At 47.2% G+C, this 27,968-nt stretch overlaps 1 protein-coding gene across 9 annotated transcripts in view, besides 1 other annotated feature; it reads left to right on the plus strand.

The window, feature by feature from the left end:
- Positions 1 to 15,170, plus strand: part of SLC6A1 (solute carrier family 6 member 1) — a 46,500-nt gene extending 31,330 nt beyond the window's left edge. For all 9 annotated transcript variants that reach the window (NM_003042.4, NM_001348252.2, NM_001348250.2 and 6 more), the window contains 9 exons: positions 1,372 to 1,506; positions 1,696 to 1,799; positions 2,158 to 2,282; positions 4,658 to 4,770; positions 5,144 to 5,275; positions 7,100 to 7,202; positions 9,562 to 9,662; positions 10,454 to 10,621; positions 12,785 to 15,170. In NM_003042.4, coding sequence (NP_003033.3) covers positions 1,372 to 1,506; positions 1,696 to 1,799; positions 2,158 to 2,282; positions 4,658 to 4,770; positions 5,144 to 5,275; positions 7,100 to 7,202; positions 9,562 to 9,662; positions 10,454 to 10,621; positions 12,785 to 12,889 — 1,086 coding nt within the window. In that variant the 3' untranslated portion in view covers positions 12,890 to 15,170. The remainder of the gene's footprint in view (positions 1 to 1,371; positions 1,507 to 1,695; positions 1,800 to 2,157; positions 2,283 to 4,657; positions 4,771 to 5,143; positions 5,276 to 7,099; positions 7,203 to 9,561; positions 9,663 to 10,453; positions 10,622 to 12,784) is intronic.
- Positions 21,526 to 21,820: a silencer, noted in NCBI's record as "tiled region #1670; K562 Repressive non-DNase unmatched - State 13:Ctcf". NCBI's record gives its function as "represses a minimal TATA promoter and a strong SV40 promoter by Sharpr-MPRA in K562 cells {active_cell/tissue: K562}" and the evidence as "EXISTENCE:reporter gene assay evidence [ECO:0000049][PMID:27701403]".

Raw genomic sequence — 27,968 nt, forward strand, 5'->3', positions numbered from 1 at the left:
AATAAGCCTGCGGCATGTCCTGATGTGACTGACCTTTCTGAGCAGTAGGTGTGACTGTGCCTGATTCCAGACAAGAGAAAGTGAAGCTAAGAGAAAATACAACATTGACCCTAAGTTACGCAGCTTGTGGGTGACACAGATGAGTTTGAATTCCCTTTTCCTAGCTCCAAGTACAATGGGTTTTCTCTTGGATTGTGGCTGCCTTCCTTAATCCTGCAGAATCTCGGGGTCAAGTCAGGGAGGTGAAGCTAAGCCAGTGAACTGTCCATGCTGACCGGGAAACAGGCTCACATTAGACTCTGAGATACAAAGGTCATCAAACTTGAACATTGCTCTTCCATACTAGTGAGCAAAGAAATGCAATTTTAGACAATGATCATCAGTTTGGCAAAAAATAATTGTTTAAATGATGATACCTAGTGCTGGCCTTGTGACAGAAAGGCACTCTCTGTAATGCCAGGTGAAGTTCCATTTCTCGAAAGCAACAAGGTAATATGGATCAAAAGCCTGTGATGAATTTATTCCTTTTAATTCAGTAGTTCCACCTCTAAAAATTTTTCCCAAGAGTGGTATAATAATTTTGTAGCTGAAGATTTATATACAGGGGTGTTTAATTTGGTGTTATTTAGAGTCACATAAAATTGGAGGTAACCTGAATGCATAGCAGTGGGGAAGCTTAAAAGAGAATGGTAGGACCTTCTGAGGGACTGTTTTGTGCAATTAAAACGTCAAATTGTTCATGAGGCAATAAAACAACGTTTAGTGAACAAAATGGGAAACAAACCTGTATGTACTGCGTTTTTTTTAACTCTAAACATGTTACATGGAAAGGCAAGTACCTAATTTGAACCTCATTTTGTAAGAAAATGTGATTGCATCTGCAAAGGAGAGTTTCAGAGGAGCATTAAAGTAGGAACATCCCTGCATTTATGTGTTCGTCAGACAATTCTTGAGTGTCTACTATATACGGTGGACTGTTCTAGACATGGGGATGTGAACAACACAAGCCCTGCCCCCCACATAACTTACATTCTAGGTGCTGGTTAAAGGAACTTTCATTTTATGTGTGTGTGTGCATATGTAATTTAAAAGTTTTCCTGTCACCACATGCAATACTTGGATAATTTAGAAGTCAAAAAATAGGAGGGGACAGGGGAAGGGAAAAACCAAATGTGAGCTGGTTGGCTCAGACTCCAAGGAGGAGCTTCAGATAAGTGGCCAAGGAGAGCAAGGATCTGGGAAGGCTTCCTGGAGGCGGAAGAACTGGAATCAAGCCCAGAGCCACAACAGATACGGATGTAGGGGAAATGGGGGAGGAGGAAGCAAGGGTGTACAGGAGGAGGGGTCACCAGTCACCCACTTTCCTCCCAGGTGGTCTACTTTTCAGCCACATACCCCTACATCATGCTGATCATCCTGTTCTTCCGTGGAGTGACGCTGCCCGGGGCCAAGGAGGGCATCCTCTTCTACATCACACCCAACTTCCGCAAGCTGTCTGACTCCGAGGTGAGTGCCCCTCCCAGCCCGGATTCTGAGCCACCACTTAGCAGCTTTGAGATAAGCTTTTGCATCTTTCTGACCCTCACTGTAGACCAGGTTTGTTGCCAGGGAGAGCTGGTGGGCACATGGAAAAGTTCCTGGATAGCTGCGGCTATGGTGATTACTTTTGACAGTCTTTGATAATTCTGCCTATAGGTGTGGCTGGATGCGGCAACCCAGATCTTCTTCTCATACGGGCTGGGCCTGGGGTCCCTGATCGCTCTCGGGAGCTACAACTCTTTCCACAACAATGTCTACAGGTTTGAGAGGACAGCTGCGGGAGCCCCTTCCTTCCTGGCCGAGCCCTTTGAGTCCACATCCCACACTCATGTGTTAGGGCCCTCTTTGGCCACTTTGCACTCTCAGCTTAACCTCTCCCTGAGCCAGTCGTTTGTTTAACTCCTTCTGGAGACACAGACATTCCTGTTGTCCCCCTTTCCTGACCCTGATCTTCTGGCTCTGCCCTCCTCTAGCTTGCTCTTAGGGCCTGTGCATCTGGGACCTACCGTGTAGCCCCATTCCCAGCCCCCTCCTCCGGGCCACCCCTCCATAACCACAGCCAGCAGCTACACCTTCTGCCAGCTGCACCCTCCTCACCCCACCCCTCCCTCTCTTCAGGGACTCCATCATCGTCTGCTGCATCAATTCGTGCACCAGCATGTTCGCAGGATTCGTCATCTTCTCCATCGTGGGCTTCATGGCCCATGTCACCAAGAGGTCCATTGCTGATGTGGCGGCCTCAGGTCAGTGCAACACTGTGTGGGGCCGGGCTCCTGGCATGGGGGCACTAACCATGCTGGCCTTTGCCATCATCACCATTACCACCACCACTGTGGCTCACTGGCCTTGAGCACTCCCTATGTGCCAGGCAATGCACTGAGCATTTTACATGGACTGTACCCATGATTCTTCTCAACACTTTGCAATACACGCTATTGTTAGCCCATTTCATAGATGAGAAAACTGAGACTCACCTCCTAAGGGTATGGAGCTAGAAAGATGGCAGATCTGGAGTTGGAGCCCAGGTCTGGCTGACTCCCAAGCCTGGGCTCTTAGTCTCTTGGCTATACTAGCATGTCCAGCACAATCCTGGACAATTTGGGGAGAAGATCCACTCTTGCCTTGGGAGTATAAACTTTGGTATTGGGGGAAATTCACCCCCGATATTTCACGTAGGTTCTTTTCTATTTTACCTAAGTGTCAGCTGGTCTGAGAAATAAAGGGAAAGAGTACAAAAGAGAGAAATTTTAAAGCTGGATGTCTGGGGGAGACATCACATGATGCCCCCGAAGCTGTAAAACCAGCAAGTTTTTATTCATGATTTTCAAAAGGGGAGGGAGTGTATGAATAGGGTGTGGGTCACAGAGATCACATGCTCACAAGGTAATAAAATATCACAAGGCAAATGGAGGCAGGGCGAGATCACAGGACCAGGGCAGAATTAAAATTGCTAATGAAGTTTCGGGCACACATTGTCATTGAAAACATCTTATCAGGAGACAGGGTTTGAGAGCAGACAACCGGTCTGACTAAAATTTATTAGGCAGGAATTTCCTCATCCTAATAAGCCTGGGAGCGCTACGGGAGACCGGGGCTTATTTCATCCCTTATCTACAACTGTAAAAGACAGACGTCCCCAAAGCGGCCATTTCAGAGGCCTCCCCTTAGGGACGCATTCTCTTTCTCAGGGAAGTTCCTTGCTGAGAAAAAGAATTCAGCGATATTTCTCCTATTTGCTTTTGAAAGAAGAGAAATATGGCTCTGTTCCACCTGGCCCACAGGCAGCCAGACGTTAAGGTTATCTCCCTTGTTCCCTGGACATCACTGTTATCCTGTTTTTTTTCCAAGGTGCCCAGATTTCATATTGTTTAAACAATTTGTGCAGTTAATGCAATCATCACAAGGTCCTGTGGCAACATTCATCCTCAGCTTACAAAGATGATGGGATTAAGATATTAAAGTAAAGACGGGCATAGGAAATCACAAGAGTATTGATTGGGGAAGTGATAAGTGTCCATGAAATCTTCACAATTTATGTTCAGAGATTGCAGTAAAGGCAGGTGTAAGAAATTATAAAAGTATTAATTTGGGGAACTAGTGTCAATGAAATCTTCACAATCTATGTTCTTCTGCCATGGCTTCAGCCGGTCCCTCTGTTTGGGGTCCCTGACCTCCCGCAACACTTTGGCTCAATTCAGACATGTTCATCACCATACTACAAAGACCACTAAATCCATGCTTTTGTCTCAGCTCCAAAAATGTTCTCGCCAAGTGGGCCATGCCCACTCTGCTCACCACACAGTCATCAATGCCACAGAACCCAAGGAAAACCCCAGACAGCCCTTCGCTGCACAGCCAGGCAAGCAGCCAACAGGTGGAACCCACTGTATGCAGGGCAGAGGCCCCTGAGGCTCATGGAGGCCACACGGCTGGTCCCTTGAAGAAGTGGGCTGGTTCCGTGAAAGGAGCATTCTCTGCTCCGGTTCTAATCTCCCCTTCAAGGGCAGCCACCATCTCGTTTCTCTGCAATTCCCCAACCATTCCCCCACCCCCATCCGGAGCCAGACCCAGGGAGGTTACAATCTCTTTCCTTCTCATTCCGAGATTTCCTGATCTCTTAGACACCCCCACCAACTACTCAAACACAATACATGCCAAACAAGGCTCCAAAGCCTTCTCCTCCACCATGCTCCCCATCACAGAAGGGTCCCATGGTCCAGTGCCCAGGGTGGAGACCTCAGCATTGTCCTGGACTCTTCCCTCACCCTCATCCTGCAAACCAGCCAATACCAGCACCTGCCCCTCCATCCCCTACATATCTCTCTATCTGGTTGCCTCTCTGCACCTGCACTATCCTCACTACTGGCCAAGCCATGCCATCCCCCATCGAGATGATGGCCACAGCTCCTCACTGGTCCTCTTGCCTCTGGGCACAATTACTATGGCCCCACATCCCCCACCCTCTTTCTGCACCTGGAAAAAGGGGCTGAAAACACTCACTCAAAAGGTTACTCTGAAGATGAAATGAAATAAGGCTTAGAAAATGGGCAGTGTGCTGGAAAGGCTGTAGGTGATGAGTACCTTTTATTTTTCTTCTTTTTTGCACTTCTCTGTTCAGGCCCCGGGCTGGCGTTCCTGGCATACCCAGAGGCGGTGACCCAGCTGCCTATCTCCCCACTCTGGGCCATCCTCTTCTTCTCCATGCTGTTGATGCTGGGCATTGACAGCCAGGTGAGGGCGCCCCCCCCGCACCCCAGGAGCTCTCCATCCCCAGACTCCTCAGTCCCCGAGTAAACAGGGAGAGGAGGCAACTCTTAGGCTGCCAAGAAGATGACCAAAAATTCCAGGTCCCTAGAATGTTCCACTGCATGAAATTTCAGGAAACAGCTCAGCCACCTTCTCCATTTTCCAGAAGGGGAAACTGATGCCCAGAGGGGAGGGACTCTCCTGAGGTCACAAAGTGAGTCACAGGCAGAATCAGGCTGGACCCTGGGCTCTCCTGGCTCGGTGCTGCTGGGCCTCCCGTCCTTCCTTAGAGGGCCAGGCTTTGGGTGGGTTGGGGCTGGGGCTGCTGCAGGTGGCTGACCTCTGTTCCCACCTGAAGTTCTGCACTGTGGAGGGCTTCATCACAGCCCTGGTGGATGAGTACCCCAGGCTCCTCCGCAACCGCAGAGAGCTCTTCATTGCTGCTGTCTGCATCATCTCCTACCTGATCGGTCTCTCTAACATCACTCAGGTAAGCTCAGTAAGCACCTGGCACTCCCCCAGCACTGCCCAGGGCCATGCCCAGGGCCTCCTCTCCCCTCCTCTGTTGTATCCCACCTTTCCTGCCTTCATTGAGCATCATCTCTGTGCCAAGCTCTGGGCACATAACAGTGAGTCAGATGGGGTCCCTGCCCTCCAGAGGCTCCCAGGCTGGTGGAGACACAAACATTGAGCTAAGACATATAGGACAGAGCTAGAGAATGCAGCACCTAACTGGACTCGGAGCACCAGGGACTGCTTCTTGGAGGAGGGGATGTAGAAATTGAGCTTTGAAAGGCCCACAGAAGGCCTGGCATGGTGGCTCATGTCTATAATCCCAGCACTTTGGGAGGCAGAGGCCGGCGGATCACCTGAAGTCAGGAGTTTGAGACCAGCTTGGCCAATGTGGTGAAAACCCGTCTCTACTTAAAAAAATAAAATAAAGTAAATAAATAATACAAAAATTAGTCAGGCATTGGGGCAGGTGCCTGTAATCCCAGCTACTTGGGAGGCTGAGGTAGGAGAATTGCTTGAACCCGGGAGGCAGAGGTTGCAGTGAGCTGAGATCGCGCCATTGCACTCCAGCCTGGGCAACAAGAGCGAAAAACTCTGTCTCAAAAAAAAAAAAAAAAAAGAAAGAAAGAAAGAAAGACAGAAAAAGAAAAGAAAGGCCCACAGAAATTAGCCAGAAAGTCAAATTGGAGTTGAGCCTTTGAAGTTGACACTGCCCAAAGCTTTCTTTCATTCCCATTTTTCTTTTGTATTGACATGAATGAGAAATGCTCACATAGCTGGTGAATTGTGCAATAAATATAAACGACTCTAGCAACATGAGTTCAGCACTGCGGGTCTGATTTTTATAATCCACAAATCACCCCCACCCCCCCCCCACCAGATCCAAATGTAGTTCTGCTCCAGAGTTAGTATTCATTCATCCCTTCATTCATAGTTGTCAAATACCTACTATGGGCCTGGCATGACCCCAGAAATTTGGCAATTAATGTGGCAGATACTACCATGTCTGCTGTCTTGGAGCTTACATTTTGGTGGACAAGACTGACAGACAAATTAGATGATTTTGGAGAGTGTCAAGTGCCCTGGAGAAAAGAGGACAGCAGCACAGAGAATGGCCAGTAGCACAGGAGGGGCGCTCCCTCAGACAAGGTAGTCAAGGGAGGTCTCTCTCTCCAAGAAAGCGACAGTTGAGCTGAGACTTAAATGATGAGAAAGAGCCAGCCAGAGAAAGATCTGGGGAAAGAGAGCAGAGTAGGTGCAAAAGCCCTGAGGCATTTGAGGGACGAGGGAAGCCAGAGTGGTGGAGGCAGAGGGAGTGAGGCAGTGGGTGGGAGACGAAGAACCAGCCCATGCGGACCTTGCAGGCCAAGACATTTGGGTGGGATGGGATGGGATGGGATGGGATGGGATGGGATTGGATGGCATGGGATTGGATTAGATCTCTCTCTGCTTATTTATGTGTTATATTATTGTCTCATTTAAGTCCTGAAAGGTTTTAAGCAGGGGAGAGACCTGACTGATTTACACTGTAAAAAGATGGCCCTGGTGACCAACTCCGCTTTCTGCCCTCCAACCTTACCAGAAATTGGCATTTTCCTCTACCACCTGGACATTTCCTTCCCAATGCCCGGACTGTCAATGTCCACATCCTCTCGTGGTCACAAAGCCCTCAGTGCTTCATCTAATCTACCCTGAAGCCTAATCCCAGCCCCATCAGCCTCCAGAGTCCATGTGGTCTGTGAACTGGATGCAGTGGGCGCCGGGGACAATGCACCTGTTCTCACCTCTTTTCATCTTGCAGGGGGGTATTTATGTCTTCAAACTCTTTGACTACTACTCTGCCAGTGGCATGAGCCTGCTGTTCCTCGTGTTCTTTGAATGTGTCTCTATTTCCTGGTTTTACGGTGAGTATCAGCCCCTCATCCCTTATTCATTCACTCATTCATCCATTCATTCCTTTCTTGAGTCATCATTCAACAAGTGCAATTTGAACCCCAGGTCTTCTCCTTACATTTATTTATTTATTTATTCTTCACATTACAATTCAATGAGGTTAGTCCAGGAGTCCCCCATGTTTAGAAGATATAAGAGCAGTTAAATGAATTCATTTAAAATAAGTGGAGATTTTATCCAGAAAAGGGAAACCAAAACTACTTTTTAAAGTTTTAAAGTTATATATTTAACACAGTCTAGGCTGTAATTAAAAGTGTGCACTATCTTAAAACAAATAACAAAAGAAACATTGATTTTGTTTATTTTGTGGCCTAAGTTTCTTGAGCCAACTGCATGATAGTAAAAAATGACAACATCCTTTCCTGCACCTTTGATTGTCCCATCAGAGCAAATGTTTTTAAAGAAGCATGATATTTTGTGTCCCCCTTTGCAATATCTGCCACCTCATCCTCCTTGTCATTGTCCCTTCTTTTTTGTTTGTTTTATATGTATAAATTTAAGGGACATGAGTGCAATTTTGTTACCTGGATATCTTGTGTAGTGGTGAAGTCTGGGCTTTTAGTGTACCCATCACCACATAATGTACATTCTTTTTTTATTTTTATTTTTATTTATTTTATTTTATTCATTTTTTTGATGGAGTCTTGCTCTGTCACCAGGCTGGAGTGCAGCGGTGCAAACTCAGCTCACTGCAACCTCTGCCTGCCTGGTTCAAGCAATTCCCCTACCTCAGCCTCCCAAGTAGCTGGGATTACAGGCATGTGCCACCACGCCCAGCTAATTTTTTGTATTTTAGTAGAGGCAGGGTTTCACCATGTTGGCCAAGATGGTCTCGACCTCCTGACCTCATGATCCGCCCACCTCGGCCTCCCAAAGTGCTGGGATTACAGGCATAAGCCACCAAGCCCAGCAGTACATTCTACCCACTAAGTAATTTCTCATCATCCACCCCAGCTCCCATTCCCCCACCCTTCTGAGTCTCCAGTGTCTATTATTCCACCTGTGCCCAGTGTTTAGCTCCTACCTTTAAGTGAGAACATGCAGTATTTGACTTCCTGTTTCTGAGTTGTTTTGCTTAAGATGATGGCCTCCAGTTCCATCCACGTTGCTGCAATAGGCATGACTTCATTCTATTTTATGGCTGAATAGTATTCCATCGTGTATGTATACCATATTTCCTTTATCCAGCCATCCACGGATGGACACTTAGGTTGATTCCCTATCTTTGCTATTGTGAATAAACACGAGTGCAAATATCTTTTTGATATAATAATTTCTTTTCCTTTGGATAGATAGCCAGTAGTGGGATTGCTGGATCAAATGGTGGTTCTATTTCTGATTCTTTGAGAAATCTCTGTACTGGTTTCCATAGAGGTTGCACTAATTTACACTCCCAATAACACCTTCTCTCTCTAACTGTTCCAACACGGTCAGATCCTCACTGGTCAGTGACTCTGCTTATAATTTGAGCAGTGCCCGAAGCCGCTCTGGTGAACTTCAAGACACCAGTTTGGGGTTTGGGGTTTTTCTTTTTCATGAGATTTGCAGTTCTTTGCAATTGATTGTCAATTTCTTTTTCTTTCATTCATTCATTTATTTATTTATTTATTTATTTATTTATTTATTTTTGAGACGAAGTCTCGCTCTTGTTCCCCAGGCTGGAGTACAATGGCACGATCTCGGCTCACTGCAACCTCCACCTCCCAGGTTCAAGCAGTTCTCCTGCCTCAGCCTCCCAAGTAGCTGGGATTACAGGCGCCCGCCACCACACCTGGCTAATGTTTATATTTTTAGTAGAGACGGAGTTTCACCGTGTTGGCCAGGCTGGTCTCGAACTCCTGACCTCAGGTGATCCTCCCACCTCGGCCTCCCAAAGTGCTGGGATTACAGGCATGGGCCACCGTGTCCGGCAGATTGCCAGTTTCTTATAGCATCTGACCATCAGGGAGAAACAGCCCCTGCCCAGGAAAGCCTTTGAAGGAATGGCTGGGATAGATGTCGAGTGGGAGGGACATTGAGAGTGGCAGGGGTGGAGGGGATCATCATGTCAGTCTCCTTTTGTTGGTAGATATCTTCACATTAAAGTGACTTGCTCACCTACACAACCCACTTGCTGTGAGAATTGGGCTATTGAAAAATACTTGGTAACGAGGACCCCCAGAGCATAACCCCCATGGTACAGACAAGGAAACTGAGACTCAGAGAGGTTAGGTGACTTGCCCATGGTCACACTGTGAGAAAGTGGTAGAACCAGGCTTTGACCCTGAAGCACCCACAGCTCATCCATCCCTCCTGCTCCCAATGTCACAGGTGTCAACCGATTCTATGACAATATCCAAGAGATGGTTGGATCCAGGCCCTGCATCTGGTGGAAACTCTGCTGGTCTTTCTTCACACCAATCATTGTGGCGGTAAGAACAAGGCCTGACTAGCCCTGTTAGGATGAGGCTAGACCAAGCCCTGGGGGGACTCAGGTCCAGGGAGAAACTTCTAGAGGCAGAGGCAGGTGGGAGAGGCCCCCAGAAACCCTGTTCCTTAATAATACTTCTCTCTACCATTTGTTGGGCATCTATTCTGCACCCTGCATGGTACAAGACACATTATATCATCCTCCACAAACCTCAGAAAGGAGGCATTATTGTCCCACTTTACCGCTGCAGGATCTGGGGCTCACCTAGCCAGCATCACCCAGCTAGTCAGCACTGGGATTCGAACCAAGCCCAGTCTCTTGGCACTTGGAGACTCTCCTTCTCAGGGTCCCTCATCCCCACAAGCAGGAGCTGAAGCAGGGGCGGGCCTGGGAGGGGCCACCCAAGGTTCTTGAGGTGGGGGCAGAGCCACTGCATATGTTGTGTCCACATAAGGGGACCCTGCCAATGGCACATTGGGAGCTGATATCTCACCCTTGCTCTGCTTTTGAAGCTGGGGAACTTGGAGGAAGGGGTTCCCTTTTCTAATTAGTCTCCCTAGAGGAGTTGCCTTTTCCTACTGATCTTCCCTGAGAGGGTGTCTTTTTCTATTATGCACAAAGGCACCTTATGTGCTAGCAGCGGTGCTGAGTGCAGGACTCCCAAGACCTTGGGCCTCTGTAAGGGTCAGCCTCGGGGTGAGGGTGGAGGGCAGTCAGCCTGCTGGCTTCAGGGTGGTTCATCCTGGGTGACTGACTCCTCCCCCTCCCTCCCCTCCCCTCCACCCTCTCCAGGGCGTGTTCATTTTCAGTGCTGTGCAGATGACGCCACTCACCATGGGAAACTATGTTTTCCCCAAGTGGGGCCAGGGTGTGGGCTGGCTGATGGCTCTGTCTTCCATGGTCCTCATCCCCGGGTACATGGCCTACATGTTCCTCACCTTAAAGGGCTCCCTGAAGCAGGTAAGCCCTTCCCCACCCTTCAAATTGCCAGTGCCCTTCTCCCACTGTGTCAGGCACAGCCCCACCCCTTGTGAAGCTCACAGTCTAGCTGGGGAAACAGACAAGTCAATAGCCAATGACAGTAGAGTATTAGAGACACTGAGATTAGGGAAAGCCAAGGGGGTGGGAGCAAACAGCCTGCCTTAGCCCTACTTGGGTTAAGGAGGATTAAAGAAGCTTCCCAGAAGAGGGGATAACAAAGGAGAGGCCTGGGGATAAACCAAACTTAAAAGTAGAAGCAGAAAGTATGTTTCTAGAAGAGGGAGGGGAGGAGAGGTTGGAAAGCATGTGCAAAGGTCCAGGGGTATAAACTGCATTGGGTCAACTGAACGGAGATCAGTGTGGCTGGAAGGTAAAGTGGAAAGGGGTGCGAGGAGGGGACATGACAAGAGATGAGGTTGGGATGTAAGAAGGTCCAGCCAGATCATGAAGGGCTTTGAAAACCAGGACAAGAACTTTGAACTTTATCCTGGCAGCAATGGGGTGTCATGAAGGGCTTGGAACAGACGGAGGGTGGGATCACATTTGCCCAGGGCTCACTCTAGATCTCATTTGTAGGGTTGATATAGAGAAAATGTGGTCTTACCCACAAAGAAAGACAAAGCACAAAAGACCTGCTGCCTGCAGCAGGGGCCTCACCATCACATAGGGTTCTCTGTCCATGCCCACACTTTGTTAAATTGCACTAAATTCTTGAGGGAAGCAAAGAAGTGCTGGAGGTGCCAGGCAGGTGCCTCATTGATGAGGTGTGTGCAGGCTGAAAAGATGCCACGGGGAGAAGTGGAGAGTCGGAGTGTGAGGGCTGCCCCGGAAGGCCCTGGATGAGTTGCTGTCCACTATAGTGCCCTGGGAAATGCACCTGCCAGACCCAGGGGAAGCGCTCTCAGGTCTGAGATACAGGGAAGCCTGGCTGCAGGTTATGTGCTGCCGTGGAGTTACTGGCCCATCTTCCTCCAACCTCAGATGAAGAAACTGGGGAACCACAGGGGTTGAGTAAGCAGGTTCCCAGCTCAGGAAGCTGTGAGCAGAGCTAGGGCTTGCAGCCCTTTCTTCCCAATGCAAGTCCAAAGCTTTCATTTTCCATGATCCACTGGAGAGCCTCAAACAGCAGCTGGGTCTTAGCGTGGCAAGAGGTTAGGGGGGTGCCCTTGCAGAAAACAGCACAGCTTGTGCAAAGGCCCAGCGGTAGGAAGGGCCAAGACATACCTGAGGCCAGGGTGTGAGCTGACGGGGCAGGATGGCGAAGGCAGTAGGGGGTCCATCCATTCAGCACACATGGACGGAACCCTGATGATGTGCCAGACACTACTGTCAGTGCTGGGGACACAGCCATGAACAAGATAAGCAGAAATTGCACCCTCCTGGAGCTCCCATTCAGGGAGAGGAAGATAAGCAACTAACAAAATAAAAGCACGTGAGGTGGCGAGGAGCACTATAGAGAAAAATCAAGTAGACAGGGTGTTTAGGGAGTGCCGGATGAGGCCTCACTGAGAAGGCGAAACATTTGAGCCAAGACCTGGGGAAGTGGAAAGCGAGCTGTCGCTATCTGAGAGGAAGGCTCTGCCAGACAGAGGGCACAGCCTGTGCAAACGCCCTGGAGCGGAAGCGTGCCTGCTGTGTTTGCGGGGCGTCGAGGAGTCCTATGCAGATGAGGTGGATGTGCGAGGAAGAGGGGAGGACACTGAGGACTGGGAGGTGGCAGGGGCCAGGTCGTGTAGGGCCTTGAAGAACTTTGGCTCTGCCTCTTGGTGAAATGGGAGCCTTCATTGGGTCCTGAAGAGTACAGGGGCATGATCTGAGTCTGGTTTTCATACAACTCTCCTGCTGCTGTGTTGACGACAGAATGAAGGGGTGAGAGGACAGCATGAAAGTGGGAGTGGAAGCTGAGGGCTGATTGGGAGTTGTTGCAATAACCCAAGTGAGAGGGGCTGTGGCGTGGCCCATGTGGGGCAGTGGCAGGGGTGCAGGAGGTGGGGATGTGGCTGGAGTCTGGGTGTAGTTTGGAGGCAGAGCAGACAGGATGCACTTGAATAGAGAGCAGGAGAGGGAAGCGGCCAGTTCCTCACCATCCCAGGCTGGGATTTTCCCCAGAGAGCCTCACACCTTCCTCCCCGGTACCCACAGCGCATCCAAGTCATGGTCCAGCCCAGCGAAGACATCGTTCGCCCAGAGAATGGTCCTGAGCAGCCCCAGGCGGGCAGCTCCACCAGCAAGGAGGCCTACATCTAGGGTGGGGGCCACTCACCGACCCGACACTCTCACCCCCCGACCTGGCTGAGTGCGACCACCACTTGATGTCTGAGGATACCTTCCATCTCAACCTACCTCGAGTGGCGAGTCCAGACACCATCACCACGCAGAGAGGGGAGGTGGGAGGACAGTTAGACCCCTGGGTGGGCCCTGCCGTGGGCAAGGATACCCGGTGGCTTCTGGCACCTGGCGGGCTGGTGACCTTTTTAATCCAGGCCCCATCAGCATCCCACGATCGGCCTTGGTAACCGCCGCGGTAGATCATTTTTATCCCGCCAGGGAGTGTGATGCAGGAAGACCACATGCGCTCCTGGCTTTTAAACCTGTTCCTGACTGTTCTCTTACTGCCGAAACCCTTGACTGTTATCTCGGACTTTGCAGGAGTTCCTTTCCCTCCGAACGCTGCTCCATGCACAGGAAAAGGGCATTTTGTACAATGGGGACTTCCCGGGAACGCTTGCTCTTAAGTACCAGAAGCCGGCGGAGCTCTGGCTTTCGTGTTTTTGGTTTTCTCCTTCCCAAGGCAGCTGGATTGAAAAAACAAAACAAAACAAAAAAACCCAGGGGCGTCAGTCGATATTCCCAGGGCCGCTTCTCCTGCAGTCTGTGGAGCGTCCTTGTCCCCGCCGCCGGAATGAATGAGCATTCTGCAGCCCGATGTCCCTGTCCCCTCCTCGCCGGGCCATTCTGATTGGACCTGGCCCAGTGCAATCTGTCCAGACAAGCCCTGCTTGCTGGAAAACTGCCACAAGCACAATTGATCTCTTTTTATCGCCATTCCAGGGGCCTCAGGTCCTACTGGGGAAACTTCCTATACCGGAGCTCCAGTTTCTCTTAAGCTGCCCAATTTCACAGAGTACAAAATAGTTGTAGGGGAAATCAAGGTGAAGGATCTGTCCGACAGTCAAGACGGATCCACAGTAATCTTTCGGTCTCCTTAAACTACCACCCTCGCTGCCACCCACCCCAAGCTGCTGCCGCCTCACCTTCCTTGAAATTTCTCAGCGGGAGTCTCCTCACTGCCACTAAAATCCACCCAGCCCACTAACTGAGGAGCTAGTGTTAATCCAGAGAACCCCCCGCAATGTGCTTCCGAGATTCAGACTGCTTCATTGGGAAGTATGATTTGTTCCTTTCTGGAATTGGGCTCCGTGGTGGCGGCGGCACTTCAAGCAAAGACAGTTTCTTGCAAGCTCCAGTAGCTCCGCGTGTCTCATTTGCCAGGAAGATGGGTTCCCACGTAGCAAATCGTACATTGTGCCCTGTAGCTCCTTAGCTAGTTAGCTCACAAGCCGTGTTTTATGACTAATCCTTAATAACTATGGTAAATAACTGTGACTGTGGGGTTTTTAATCTCTTGTCATTCTCATCCAAAAGTGACCAGCATACCAGTTCTTGCAATAAGATATTACCCTCAGAATATTAAGCACATTATTGTAGAGAAAAAAAAATATGTGTACACATATGAACGCACAACATGCACATTCATCCTCACATGTGGCACGTAAGGTCTCATTTGATATTGTGTAGGAAATCTGAAGCCTTTTCCTGAGGTCATCTGTAAAATAGTCTCATTGCCAAGGCATCCCCAGTGCCAGCTGGTGAATCCATGATCAAAATGCATACGTATTGTTAAATGATAAGGTTTAGAATGACAGGAACCCATCACTGTGTCTCATGGTCCCACTTCCCCATCTGTGTGTGAATTCCTTTAGACTAAGGGCAGGAAGACTTCCAGCTTTCTCTTTGTTCTTCAATGTGAAACTGAGACCAAGTCTCTCTAAGACAAATGCAGTGTATTTAATGTTTGTAAGCAATTCTAAGTGAGATGTTTGGCAAGAAATCCCCTAACTGATTTCCATCCAAACCTACCTTATAGAGCACAATATTAAGTGTTGTACAATTACTGTGAGAACTGTGAATATGTGTAACTTTTTTTTAGTATTTGCCCGGGGGGAAAAAGATATTGTATTATCATATATGCTTTTTTGCAATAAGGATTTATTCTCAGAACACCAAGTAAATCTATCTCTATATAAAAAATATATGTAATATATACATATTCAAAGTATATACAGAGCCTGTTTTAAAAAATACAGTATTATTTAGTAAAATTATCTGTTCTATGGACCAAATGTAAAATATTTATAAATGAAGATGCATTTTAAATGTCTATAAATGGTGTCATAACTAGAGCACGGGCGTTATGTAAGTTTCTAAGAATTTAGAGGATAAATAATAAAGGTTCTATGATATACAACATCAGACCTTCAATTCTTTGGGGTGGGGGCACAATATCCTCTTTCATCACAACAACAACACATACACACAGAACTATTTTTCCCCAGCAGACAGAGATTGGGGCTCAAAACCCAACAAAACGGAGCTGGACTTCCCCAGAGTCTTAAAGTCATAGAAAATGATTGTGTGCTGCACGAGGGAGGTGCTTTCACTGTGCATGGGGTCAACTAAATAAAGATCTAAAACCACAGGAGACCAGGAGCACATTTAGTGAACAACAGCACTCGTTCATTCACTCACTGATTCTTTCCTCAACATTTTTATCTTTTTAAATCGTATTTAGAAAAATGCGAATTCTACAGAGAAGTTGTAAGAATAGTTCCGTGGACACATCTGCACTTCACCCAGATTTGCCAGTTGTTAACACGTCGCCACTTTTATCTTCACTAACTCTCTGTCAGTCAAGGTTCAGCCTGGCAAGTGGAGCCACTGGATATGATGGAATCAGGGCTTTATTACAGGAACGGACCTTAGACCACTGCAGGGCAGTTGGAAAGTAAGAGTCTGCGGTTTCTCTACCTGGTCTGCTCTTCCCCGGCTGTCCTCACCACTGGTTCCTTCCTTTCATTCAGGTCTCTGCTCCATTGTCACCTCCTTACAGAGGCTTTTCCTGACCACCTTGGCTAAAATAACATGCTCCTTCATCTCTCTCTGCTCCCTCACTCTGTTTTATTTTTCTTATTCTCAGCATTCACAAGCTTACTAATTTAATCTCTATCTCTCCCCACTATAAAGGAAGCTCTGGGGGCGGGCACAGTGGCTCACGCCTGTAATCCCAACACTTTGGGAGGCCGAGGTGGGTAGATCACTTGAGGTCAGGAGTTCGAGACCAGCCTGGCCAACATGGCGAAACCCCATCTCTACAAAATATACAAAAATTAGCTGGGCGTGGTGGTGGGTGACTGTAATCCCAGCTACTCGGGGGCTGAGGTAGGAGAATCGAGTAAACCCAGAAGGTGGAGGTTGCAGTGAGCCGAGATCGTGCCACTGCACTCCAGCCTGGGCGACAGAGAGAGACTCTGTCTCAAAAAAATAAATAAATAAAATAAAAATAAAGGAAGCTCTGGGAATATGGGGACTTTTGCTAATTCACTGCTCTGTCCTAGATGCCCAGAACAGTGCCCGTGCCCGACACACAGTAGAAGCTCAACAAATACATGAATGAGTGAGTGAAGGAAAGAATGAATGAATAGATGGACGGACGGATGGCAGGATGGATGGATGGGCAAGGAATGGCAATGGAACAGCCATCGCAGGCACTGGCTTTGGGGTCAGACAGCTCTCCGTGTGAGTTCCGGCTCTGCCGCTCACTCTCTCAGCAACTCTGAACACGTTGCTTAAATCTCTTTGTGCCCCAGTTTCCTCACAAAATTGTTGTTACAGTGAAATGAGTTAAAACAAGGAAAGCACATAGCACGGTGCCTAGCCCAAACTGAGCACTTAAAAAAAATAGTGGTTTTATTACAGCAATGGTTCCTGAAATGTTCCCTTAGAAGAACCTCTTTAATCGGGGTCCATCCCCCACCCAGAGCCCCATGTTTTGAAGGATTTTGTCTACCAAACTGTCGCTTAATAATTAAGCTGTTTCCCCTCTTTTTATTAATCAGATGTGGCTGCTAATTAGAGCTCCCGATTAGCATGAGGTAACCAGGGTGACAGCACTAATCTGATATCATTCCAGGCAGAAGCAAAGAAATGTAGCATTTGGGGTCCTCAGCTTACCCAGATGGTTTGTAATTATGTGATTACCTCTGGGCTTTATAATATGGAAAAATAAAGTTCTGGATGTCCCATTGACTTTTCCAGGGACCCTCACAGGTTCAGGACCTCAGGTGGGGTCTATGTCTCACAAAATGTTTGGCTGCAGACTTTGTATTTCTCTTTCTTTAAAACCAAAGGTTGCTTTGAGGAGTAAACATTTTCCAGGCTAGGTGACCACGAGCTTTGATCCAGCTAATACATATCATGCAAATGGCTCCCAGTTTTGAAGCTCAGGTTTTGTGCACACCTCTATTTCTTTCTAATAAACTCCCAGCAGTGAAATTGCTGAGTCAAGCGGTCTGTGCATTTTTAAGGCTGTTCATGCCTCGTGCCAAACTGTCCGCAGGGAAAGTGGCGACCATTTTTATTCCCCCCAGAAGTATATGGTAGTGACAATCTCCCCACACTTTTTCCAAAATTAGATCTTATTATTTTTTAGAATCTTTTTCAATTTCACAGATGAAGTTATCTTAATAGTTGAGCTTATATTTCTTTGAATTTTACTGATGCAGGACTTTTTTTCATGTCCTTTCTGGCCTGTTGTATTTATTTTGTGAATTTATAGCTCATGAGCATCTTGCTGTTCTTTAGAGATGGGCTCTCGCTCTGTCGCCCAGGCCGGAGTGCAGTGATACAATCACTACTCACTACAGCCTCGAACTCCTGGGCTCAAGCCATCGTCCTGTCTTGGCCTTCCCAGTAGCTGGGACTACAGGCATGAGACACCACGTTCAGCTAATTTTTTAATTTTTCTTTTGTAGAGACAGAGTCTCGCTGTGTTAACCAGGCTGGTTTCAAACTCCTGGCCTCAAGCAATCCTCCTGCCTTCACCTCCCAAAGTGCTGGGATTATAAGCATGGGCAACTGTGTCCAGCCAGCATCCTGTTTTTGTATTTGTCTTATTTGTTTGGAAGAGTTATTTTTAATATATTGAGGATATTAACACTATCTTATGTATGTTGAAAATAAATCACAGGATGTATATGGATAGGTATATGTGTATGTGTATGTACATGTATATGTATATGCGTATGTACATGTGTATGTATATCTATATGTATAGATATATGCATATGCACATGTATGTGTGTAGATAGATATAGATAGATGATAGATAGATGATAGATAATCTAGATAGATAGATAGATAGATAGATAGATAGATAGATAGATAGATAGATAATCTCTTCTCCCAAGGAAGTCTTTCTGTTTTCTAGTTCCTGGCTTCTTACTTCCAAACCTTTTACAGTTTGAGCCAAAGGCTAGGAAAACATTTTCAGCCATCCCCTTTTCCAACCCTGTGCTAGTGTAGCCCCTCTCTTGGGTGGAAATGTGAGAGCAATTGCATCTTCCACTCAGGGCTGAGGATTCATGGCTTAGTAAGTGTCAAGTGTTTAGAACAGGGCCTGGTACATAGGAAACTCTCATATTGAGCCATTCTGTGACTTTCTGTGACCGCACAATAGCACCAGCTGCTTACTCTTCTCTCTGTCCTCACAAACCAGCCCTTTTATGATCCTCGTGGAATCTTCCCTGGCACACCCTTCAGGCTCACTGAGCCACGGTCAGGGCTGCTCAGAGAAGGCAGGTGTTGAAGTAGTGGCAGTTCATGACAACAGTGATAATGATAACAACTATTCATTCAGGCCCTACTAAGTTTGAGGCTCTGTACCAACCACCCCACAAGATTTTTCTCACTTCTCCCTTGGGACCACCCCATGGGGTATGGCTGACCCTTCATGTCAGTGCTCCAGCCATAACACTGAAGTCCCTTTTCCATCTTCATTTTTGTGCACACTGGCTCCCGCCGTGCCTGCACTCTGACATCCAGCACTTCTGTCTGTGTCAGATACAAGCATTATTTTTATAATAGGAAATACATAATAAACTATATTTTTAAATACACAAAGTCATGGCTAGGCACATTGGCACATGCCTGTAATCGCAGCACTTTGGGAGGCCAAAGCAGGAGGGTTGTTAAGACCAGGAGTTCAAGCAAGACCCACCTAAGCAACATAGCAAGGACCCATCTGCACAGAAAAAATTTAAAAAGTTAGCCAGGCATGATGGTACATGCCTGTAGTACTAGCTATTCAGGAAGCTGAGGCAGGAGGATGGCTTGAACCCAGGAGTTCAAGGTTGCAGTGACCTGTGATTGCACCATTGCGTGCCAGCCTGGGCAACAGAAGGAGACCCTATCTCTAAAAAAAAACAAAACAAAACAAAACAAAAAGGTATACAAAGTCACGTGGGCTTGTCAATGTGGAGAAGGACAATTTACTGACAAGGCATCTCATTATAATGCACATAAAATTAAGGACTTTGTATATTTTGCTTTTGGAGGAAAATCTTCTTTCACCAAAAAATGCTAATGGGACATGGGTGAGGAGACCAACCATGACAGACAACTCTAATAATATCCTAACATGAGCGAAGGAGAAATCAAGGGTTCCAGTGATGTGTTTACTGATGTTTCACCTGATACTGTCAAAGAGAATGTCTTGGTGTTTTACTTGAGGTTGGTGTCAGTTCAGGTCCGCCAAGAAGCAGATGCCAAGACAAATGTAGCAGCAAAATGGACCTGTGGGTAAACACCTTGAAATTTTGTATTGATGTATAATAATTGCACATATTTATAGGGTACATGTGATATTCTGATACATGCATACAATGTATAACGATCAAATCAGGGCATTTAAGATGTCCATAGCCTCAAATGTTTATCATTTCTTTGTGTTGGGAACATTTCAGATTTTTTCTTCTAGCTATTGGGGTAAACACCCTTAAATGACACAGGGGAGAAAGGGCAGGGCCAGGCAGGAAGACACCCAGCCACATTGATGGCTGGACAACAGGAGAAGGAAGGAGTCATGTGTGGGAAGAACCATAGACTGCAGTGCAGCGCTGGGACAGTCTCAGCCAGCCCGCCAGGAATCCCCACTGCAAAGGCTGTGCTTTGAAGAGTTCCACATTGAAGAAATGTCCAGGCCCTATTAACTCCACTATGCACTCAGTGCTGCCAGGGACAGTGTAAACTTGGCTCAACACTGTGGGACATCCCAAAGGCACTGCAACTGGGGGCCACTAGCCTACTGTACTCCCCACAGCAGTTCTCCAAATTACAGGAATGTGGAGGCAAGGAAAAGATATCCTTATTTCCTGAATGCCTTCTGTGTGCCCGGCACTTTCTCGTGGAATACTGTTTACTCCTCACCACAAACCTACAGAACATTGCAGGTAATTACTGGCATTTTGATATGGTGTGCATGTTCATCTCCTCCAAATCTCATGTTGAAATGTGATCCCAAATGTTGGAGGTGGGCCTAGTGGGAGGTGTTTGGGTCATGGGGGCAGATGTCTCATGAATGGCTTGGTGCCCTCCCCATGGTAATGAGTTTGCACAAGAGCTGGTTGTTTAAAAGAACCTGGCATCTCTCTCTCTCCCTCTCTCATATGACACACTGACTCCCCTTCCCTTCCACCATGAGTAAAAGCTTCCTGAGGCCTCATCAGAAACCGAGAAGATGCTGGCACTATGCTTCTTGTACAGCCTGCAGAACTGTGAGCCAAATAAACCTCTTTTCTTTATAAATTACCCAGTCTCAAATATTCCTTGATAGCAGCACAAAAAGGACTAATGCACGTTTATAGATGAATTTCCTCAGGCTCAGAGAGGGAAAACAACTTTCTCACAAAGCCACAGAGCTGAAAGTCACAGGACTGGACCCTGAGCCCAGATCCTTCCACTATAGCACAGTGGCCTCCATGGTCACAAACATGGCACAGGGTATAAGGCAAAGATCTAAGACCAGGCAGAGTTAAGGCAAGAGGGGGATCAGGAAAAGCCCATGGCATCAATATGAGGGGCTTCTGCCCCTTTCCTGCTGGAGTCTTGTTACAGCCCAAAGGGGTTCTTCTTGCCCACTGCAAGATGAAGCCAGAACATTGAGACAGCAGTGTTGCTGTAGAGAAAGGGTTTAATTATCACAAGGTAACTAAACAAAAGGATGGGAGATGTTTTTCAAATCTGCCTCCCCAAGAATTCAGAAGCTAGGGTTTTTAAGTGTACTTGAAAACAGCAGGCAGAGGGCTGGGAAACTGAAACAATTGATTGGCTGGGGACAAAATCACAGGGGTCTCTAAACTGTCTTTGAACAGCTGAGTCAGTTCCTGGGAGGGGATTTCAGGATCATGTGGCATCTCTTGATCTCCTGAAATGCTAAATCTGAAAAACATCTCAAAGACCAGTCTTTTAGGTTTCACAATAGTGAAGTTATCCATAGGAGCAGTTGGGGAAGTTACAAATATCACGACCTCCAGTTATGTGACTCTGGGGCAGTAAGCAACATATAGAAAAGCAAACTAAACAAGCAATGGATGGTTATAGTTCAACCTATTCTTTAGCGAAGTTGTAGGCCTCTAGCATCATTCTAACCTTGTTACCTTTTGTTAGTCTTTACAGATACGATTGCAATTTCCAAACAAAGAAGGGAACAGCTCCAGGAAGGGGCTGCTATGGCCTCCGCACAAGAATGAGCAAAAGCAAACTAGCCTGGTAGAAGCAAGATGAAGTCAGGTATGTTCGATTTCCCTTACTACTACAATTTTTGCAAAGGTGTTTTTAGCTTCAGAAATTAGCCCCACATCTTCTGCCAACCCCTCTGGAGGCAAGGGCCTGCACTGACCTCGTAGGCCTGCAGGGGCTTCAGGGTAAAATGCACAGACTGAATTTACAAGGACCATGCCAGGAAACACCGGCCCAGAAGCCCCATGCACAAATCCTTAGCGGCATCTTCAGAAAAAGAAAGCTTTAACCCAGCAGTGCACATAAGAATCAGAGAGTGTGCTGGGCAGAAAGCTGATCCCTAGACCCCATCCCAGACACTCTGATGCAGGAAGTCTAGGCTGGTGCCCAGAAATTACATTCTAATAAGCACCTCAAGCCCTTCTAGTGGAGAAAGTCATCCACACATCACATCAAGAAATACTGTTAAAAGCAATCCTGGAACCAAAATTGAGGAATAGTATACAAAGCAACTGGCCTATGCTCTTGAAAAATGTCAAGGTCATAAGAGACAAAGACCAAGGAATTGTTCAGATTAAAGACATGACAACAGAATGCAATTTTATCCGGAAATGGAACCTGGCCCAGAAATTTTTTTCTCTTGCCGTAAAGGACATTAGTGAAACAATAGATGAAATTTGAATAAGATATGTAGATGAGATAATAATATTGTATGGATGATAATTACATGATTTTGATCAATACACTGTGGTTATGTAAAAGAATGTCATTTATTTAGGAAATGTATGCTGAAGTATTCAGGCTAAAGGGGAAACTTGTCTACAACTTATTCTTAAATGACTCAGAAAAAAAAATACAATATAGGCTGGGCACAGTGGCTCACACCTGTAATCCCAGCACTTTAGGAGGCCCAGGTGGGTGGATCACCTGAGGTCAGGAGTTCAAGACTAGCCTGGCCAATATGGTGAAACTCCGTCTCTACTAAAAATACAAAAATTAGCCGGGTATGGTGGTGGGTGCCTGTAATCCCAGCTTCTCAGGAGGCTGAGGCAGGAGAATCGCTTAAACCTGGGAGGCAGAGGTTGCAGTGAGCTGAGATTGTGCCACTGCACTCCAGCCTGGGCAACAGAGTGAGACTCTGTCTGAAAAAAAATAATAACAATACAGTATATACATATATAATATGTGTGTGGAGAGAGAGCATAAGAGAGAATGATAAAGCCAGCAAATGTGGAAAATAACATTTGGGGAATCTGGGTGAAGAGTATACAGAAACTCTTTATATGAGTTTTGTAACTTCTATTTATTTATTTATTTATTTATTTAGAGATGGGGTCTTGTTCTTTTGCCCAGGCTGGAGTGCAGTAGCACAATCTGGGCTCATTGCAACCTCCATCTCCCAGGTTCAAGCAATTCTCCTGCCTCAGCCTCCCGAGTAGCTGGAACTACAGATGTGCACCATCCCACTTGGCTAATTTTTGTATTTTTAGTAGAGATGGGGTTTCGCCATGTTGTCCAGGCTGGTCTCAAACTCCTGACCTCAAGTGATCCACCGACTTCAGCCTCCCAAAGTGCTGTGATTACAGGCATGAGCCACTGTGCCCAGCTGAGTTTTACAACTTCTAAGTCTGGAATTATTTTAAACACACAAACAATCTAGGAAGAAGCTGGGTATCACCTTTATTTGATGAGAAAGGTACAGGTTTGGAACAGGTTCCTACGGTGGGGAGGGGGATGGTGGAGCAGGCTCTAGCTTTCACCAGGACCCGTCCCCACTCACACACTCCCATCCCTGTCATTGCCCCTCTTCTCCTGGTAAACTTCTCCTCAGGTCCCAGCTGAGAAGTCACCTCCCGGGAGCCTACCCAGGATGTGCTGGGCACCCTCCTGTGCTCCAAGGCTCCTTGGCACTGTGGTCCTCCCACCCTGGCCTATGAGCTTCTTGGGAGCTGAAGGTTGTTGGGGGAGACTGTCTCAATCTTCTTTGTGTCCCCAGGCCTGGCACAAAATTTGCCACATGCCAATGATTAAAAGAGATCTGCTTTTATTAATAGCTTCCTATTCCTGAAAGCCAGCATTTTGCAATACACACCAGCTAAGTGCTGCCTAACCTCTGTGTCATTAATATCTATGAAAACCCATAGAGCAGGTCTAATTACTCCCACTTAATGGTGCTTAGAGAAATGAAGTGACTCGCTTTAAAAAAACACTGAATGAATGCATGCATGCGTGCATGAAGGAAAAAGATACAGAGTACTCTGTGACCCTAGAGGAGCCAAAGGTGTGTGTATTGGGGGTAAGAGGGGAACCTCAGGAGACAAGCTCCAGTACCTAAGGAACTGGACATTCTCATGGTCAGGACTGTCCAACAATAGAACCAGCTGTCTTTGTAGTGAGTGAGCACCCTGTCCTTGGAGGTGTGCAAGCAGAGGGCCCCACCTTAACAGGGGTAAGAGGATGGTGGCTTGATGCCTGGGAGGGGCTGACTTTATGATTCTCCTGGCAGCAGGTGGTTTCTGAGTTGGTCCAATGGGAGAAGGGACCTGGGACATGGGATAAGACCCACATTGGCTCTCTTTTCACCCCCACCTCATGTATCCAAGTCCTGGCCCATTGAAACATTCACTTTAAATTGGCCCTTGCACTTAAAGAATTTTTAAGCTGAAGCTTTGCAACAAAACAATGGCCTCATTAGACTTTAAAGAGGGAGGTGACCCCCAAACAGACTAATAGTGGTCATGTGGGCCTGCAGTTGGCCCCATCTGGGGCTTGAGAGCCAACTGGGACATTCAGAATCTCACCTCCTCAGCCGCAACCAGACCCCGGCTCCCCAGCCCCAGACCCCCACAGCCTGTGATGTGGGGCCCTGACCTGGGCTTCTCCCCTGCCCCACCCCATATATCTCAAAGCAGGCCTCTTCTTTCCAGCTCCCCATGCCAGATCACTGCTAGGGTTCACCTGGCAGCCACAAGGCCAGCTTCCACTCAGTGCTCCAACCCATGGCCAGAGAGCTCTTTCTAAGGCAGAGCCAGGAGGGTTTTCGCCTGCTGAAAACCCTCCAACTGCCTCCTACCATGCTGATAATCAAGTTCAACTTTCTCTCCATACCCTGCAAGGCCCTGTCTGATCTGGTCTTCCACCTTCAGCCCCATCTAGCTGCCCATGCACACTCATCTGGCTGCTCTCCTCTCTGAAAATTCCATATGAATTTTAAAAAACAGCTTACCAATTTACGCAAAAAAAAGAAAACCGCTGGAATTTTGATAGGGTTGCATGAATCTTTCAATTGATTTGGGGTGTATTGCCATCTTATCAATATTACCTCTTCCAATCCATGAATATAGGATGTAGAGGACTTTGCCCTCTGCCAGATGTGCCCTTTTCAACTCTCTGGTCTCCCTGATGAACTCCTGCTTCTACTCCTGGATCCCTGGAGGAATGAAGGATGCACTAACCCAAAATATGCCAGATTGGTATATTGATTACTTTGAGTTAAAAACACTGGAGTAATTGTAATTTCCAAAAGGGCTAGCTGACCCGTCTCTTCCTGCATGTAGCAAGTGATAAAGATTCCTCTGGGAGGGGGTCCCTTCGCCATACCAGGGTGAGAAAATAGCCGTTGTAACCACAGACTGAGACTTAGGGGCTGTGATGGATAAATATGACTGAATATACATAACATAGTAACCCTCAACATCCACTAGTTCCACGTGCCAGTACCCCACATATCTCCTAGTGGCTCCCCTAGAAAACCTGCTGCTCCTATCAAGATTTTCTTTGTCCTGTCATTTCTTCTCAAATTTACAGTTGTCTAAAAAGTATAAAAGCATCTTGCTTTGGCCACTTCTGACTTCACTTTCTTGTGAAGATCCCTGGGTACATGTAAAACTAATACAATGTGTACACTTTCCTCTTGTTAATCTGCCTGGTGTCAATTTGGTTTCTATCCTGCATAAGAGCTAAAGGAGTTTGGAGGTGATCTCTGCCCTGCTGCAACCCCCTGGAGCATCCTCTCCCCCAGAACCTTTCCCTGCACCAGGCCCTCCTCACTGTGTTCTGGGGGCCTCTGGACTTGCCCATCTGGGCACAAGAGTACCCCATTAATCTCTTCCCATTTTCATTCCCCAGCTAGAGGACAGGGACTGTTTTTCATGACATTGCTTCCCCAGCACTGAGCACATGCCTGTTGCTTTGTGAAGATTCAACGACTATGTGGATTGCAATGGCTGGCTGGAAGAACCAGTGAGAATACCTAAAGGCACATTAAACATGCTTCCCCAAAGAAACAAACAAACAAGTGTACACACAAAAGAATGAATGAACTGATGTATACACAAATGTAGGTAGATAATTAAATGACAGAGCATTCTCCCAAGCTTTGAAAGCAATGGTTCTCAACACTGGCTTCAGGTTGGAACCACCTAGGCCTCCATCTCAGATCAATCAACTCGGAATCTTTAGCGGTGGGGCTGAGCTTCACCTTTTTTTAAGTTCCTGGTGATTCTAGCATACAGTCAGGGTTGAGTGGTTCCCAAAGTGTAGTCCCAGAGCAGCAGTGTGAGCGTCACCTGGGGACCTCAGAGTTTCTCAAGCTTCATAGAAATCACTGGAATTGGGAGGCCTGGGGTGAGGGGGGAGCCTGACTATGTGTGTGTCTAACAAATTCTCAGATGCTGCTGAGGCTGCTGGTTGGGGGGTCGCACTTTGAGACCCACAGGTCCAGAGGTCTTCTTTCTCTCTAGTCCTTTAGTGAAAGAAGGGTTGGAGGAGGTGACAGATACTGCTTCCTGGTCCAGGGATGAGAAGCCCTAAAAGGGTGGGACAGAGATTGCTCTAACAATTGTTCTTTTTCTTTACTTTCCCGTTTTTGTGGATTAGGAACCTGAGACCTTGGGAGGAGCAGAAACTTGCCCAAAGCCCAGGATCAATCTTGGAAACACTGACTTAGCAGGATATTTCCTGAGCACTTGTGACGTGCCAGGGGCATATATGCTACATGCTAAGCGTTCAAGGGCCAGCCTCTTAGCTCCGCCCCGCCTCTTCCAACTTGACACCAGCACCCCAAGGTCAGAACCCTAAGGACAGGTCAGGGCTCAGCTCCAACTCACCTGGCCTGCCAAGGAAAGCAGGGCTGGGTACCAGGCATCCTGCTTCCCTCATGCCCTGATGGGAGAAGCTGATCTTCCCCCTGCTCCCTGAGCTCCCTGAAACTGTCAAAGCCCAAGGGGAACGTCAGGAGGAGCAAATGAGGCAAGGAAGCCAACTGTCGGCTCCCACTCGCAGCCATGCAGGAGACGCCTCCTCTCCCCAGGGGATGCTCAGGTCCCACACAGCCTATTTTCTTGCCTGTCGAGGTGGTCTCTGGAGATGGTGTGAAAAACTCAGTTGAATGGTGAAGCAACAGCCATTTCCCTCCTCCTCCTCAATACCAGACTCTGATCTTGCTCAGGTATCAGGTGGCCTTGCGCTACAGAGGGGTGGGGGGCAGAGCTCTGCCCTTGTTCCGGGGCATGACTGATCCACGTCAATCATGCCACTCCATTTTCCTGGAAGTGATTGGTGGAGTCACGGGCATGGGAGCAATTATGGCCAATGAGGTGTGAGGACGAGACACGGGGAAGTGAAACTGGAAAGGTTTTTGCTCTTACAAGTAGATACTGGACCAAAAAAGAAAGAGAGAGAGATGGATGAATAGATGGATAGATGGATGGACAAACTATGAAGATAAGATAAAGCAATTATAGTAAAATGCAGAGTGCTAATGGTATAATCTAGATGGTTAAGTACATAGGTGCTCACTCTATTTTTCACTCAAATTTTCTGTGTGTTTAAAACTGTTCATAATGATGTGTTTTAAAAGCATGATGCCTGAGTGTCTACTAAAGCTGAATATATGCAATTCCACTCCTAGGTGTATGCCTAACAGAATAACAGAAACACATACTTTTTTTCTTTTTTCTTTTCTTTTTTTTTTTTTTTTTTTTTTTTTTGAGACAGCGTCTTGCTCTGTCACCCAGGCTGGAGTGCAGTGGCACAATCACAGCTCACTGCAGCTTCCATCTCCTGGGCTCAGGTGATCCTCCCACTTTAGCCTTCCGAGTAGCTGGGACTTCAGGCATGCCACCATGCTCAGCTAATTATTTTATTTTTTGTAGAGATAGGGTCTTGCTATGTTGCTCAGGCTGGTCTCAAAGTCCTGGGCTCAAGCAGTCCTCCTGCCTCAGCCTTCCAAAGTGCTAGGATTACAGGCGTGAGCCACCGTGTCCAGCCAGAAATGCATTCTTAACGTTCACCAAAAGATATGTGCAAGAATGTTCATAGCAGCACTATCTATAATAGCAAAAACCTGAAAACAGTCGAGTTTGTCAACAGAAGAATGAATAAATTGTGATATATTCGTGCAATAGAATATTACATAGCATTGAGAATTAACAAATGGCAGCGACACACAACAACAGGGTAAATCACACTA

The sequence above is a fragment of the Homo sapiens genome, chromosome 3, assembly GCF_000001405.40.
Source record: "Homo sapiens chromosome 3, GRCh38.p14 Primary Assembly".
Lineage (NCBI taxonomy): Eukaryota > Metazoa > Chordata > Mammalia > Primates > Hominidae > Homo > Homo sapiens.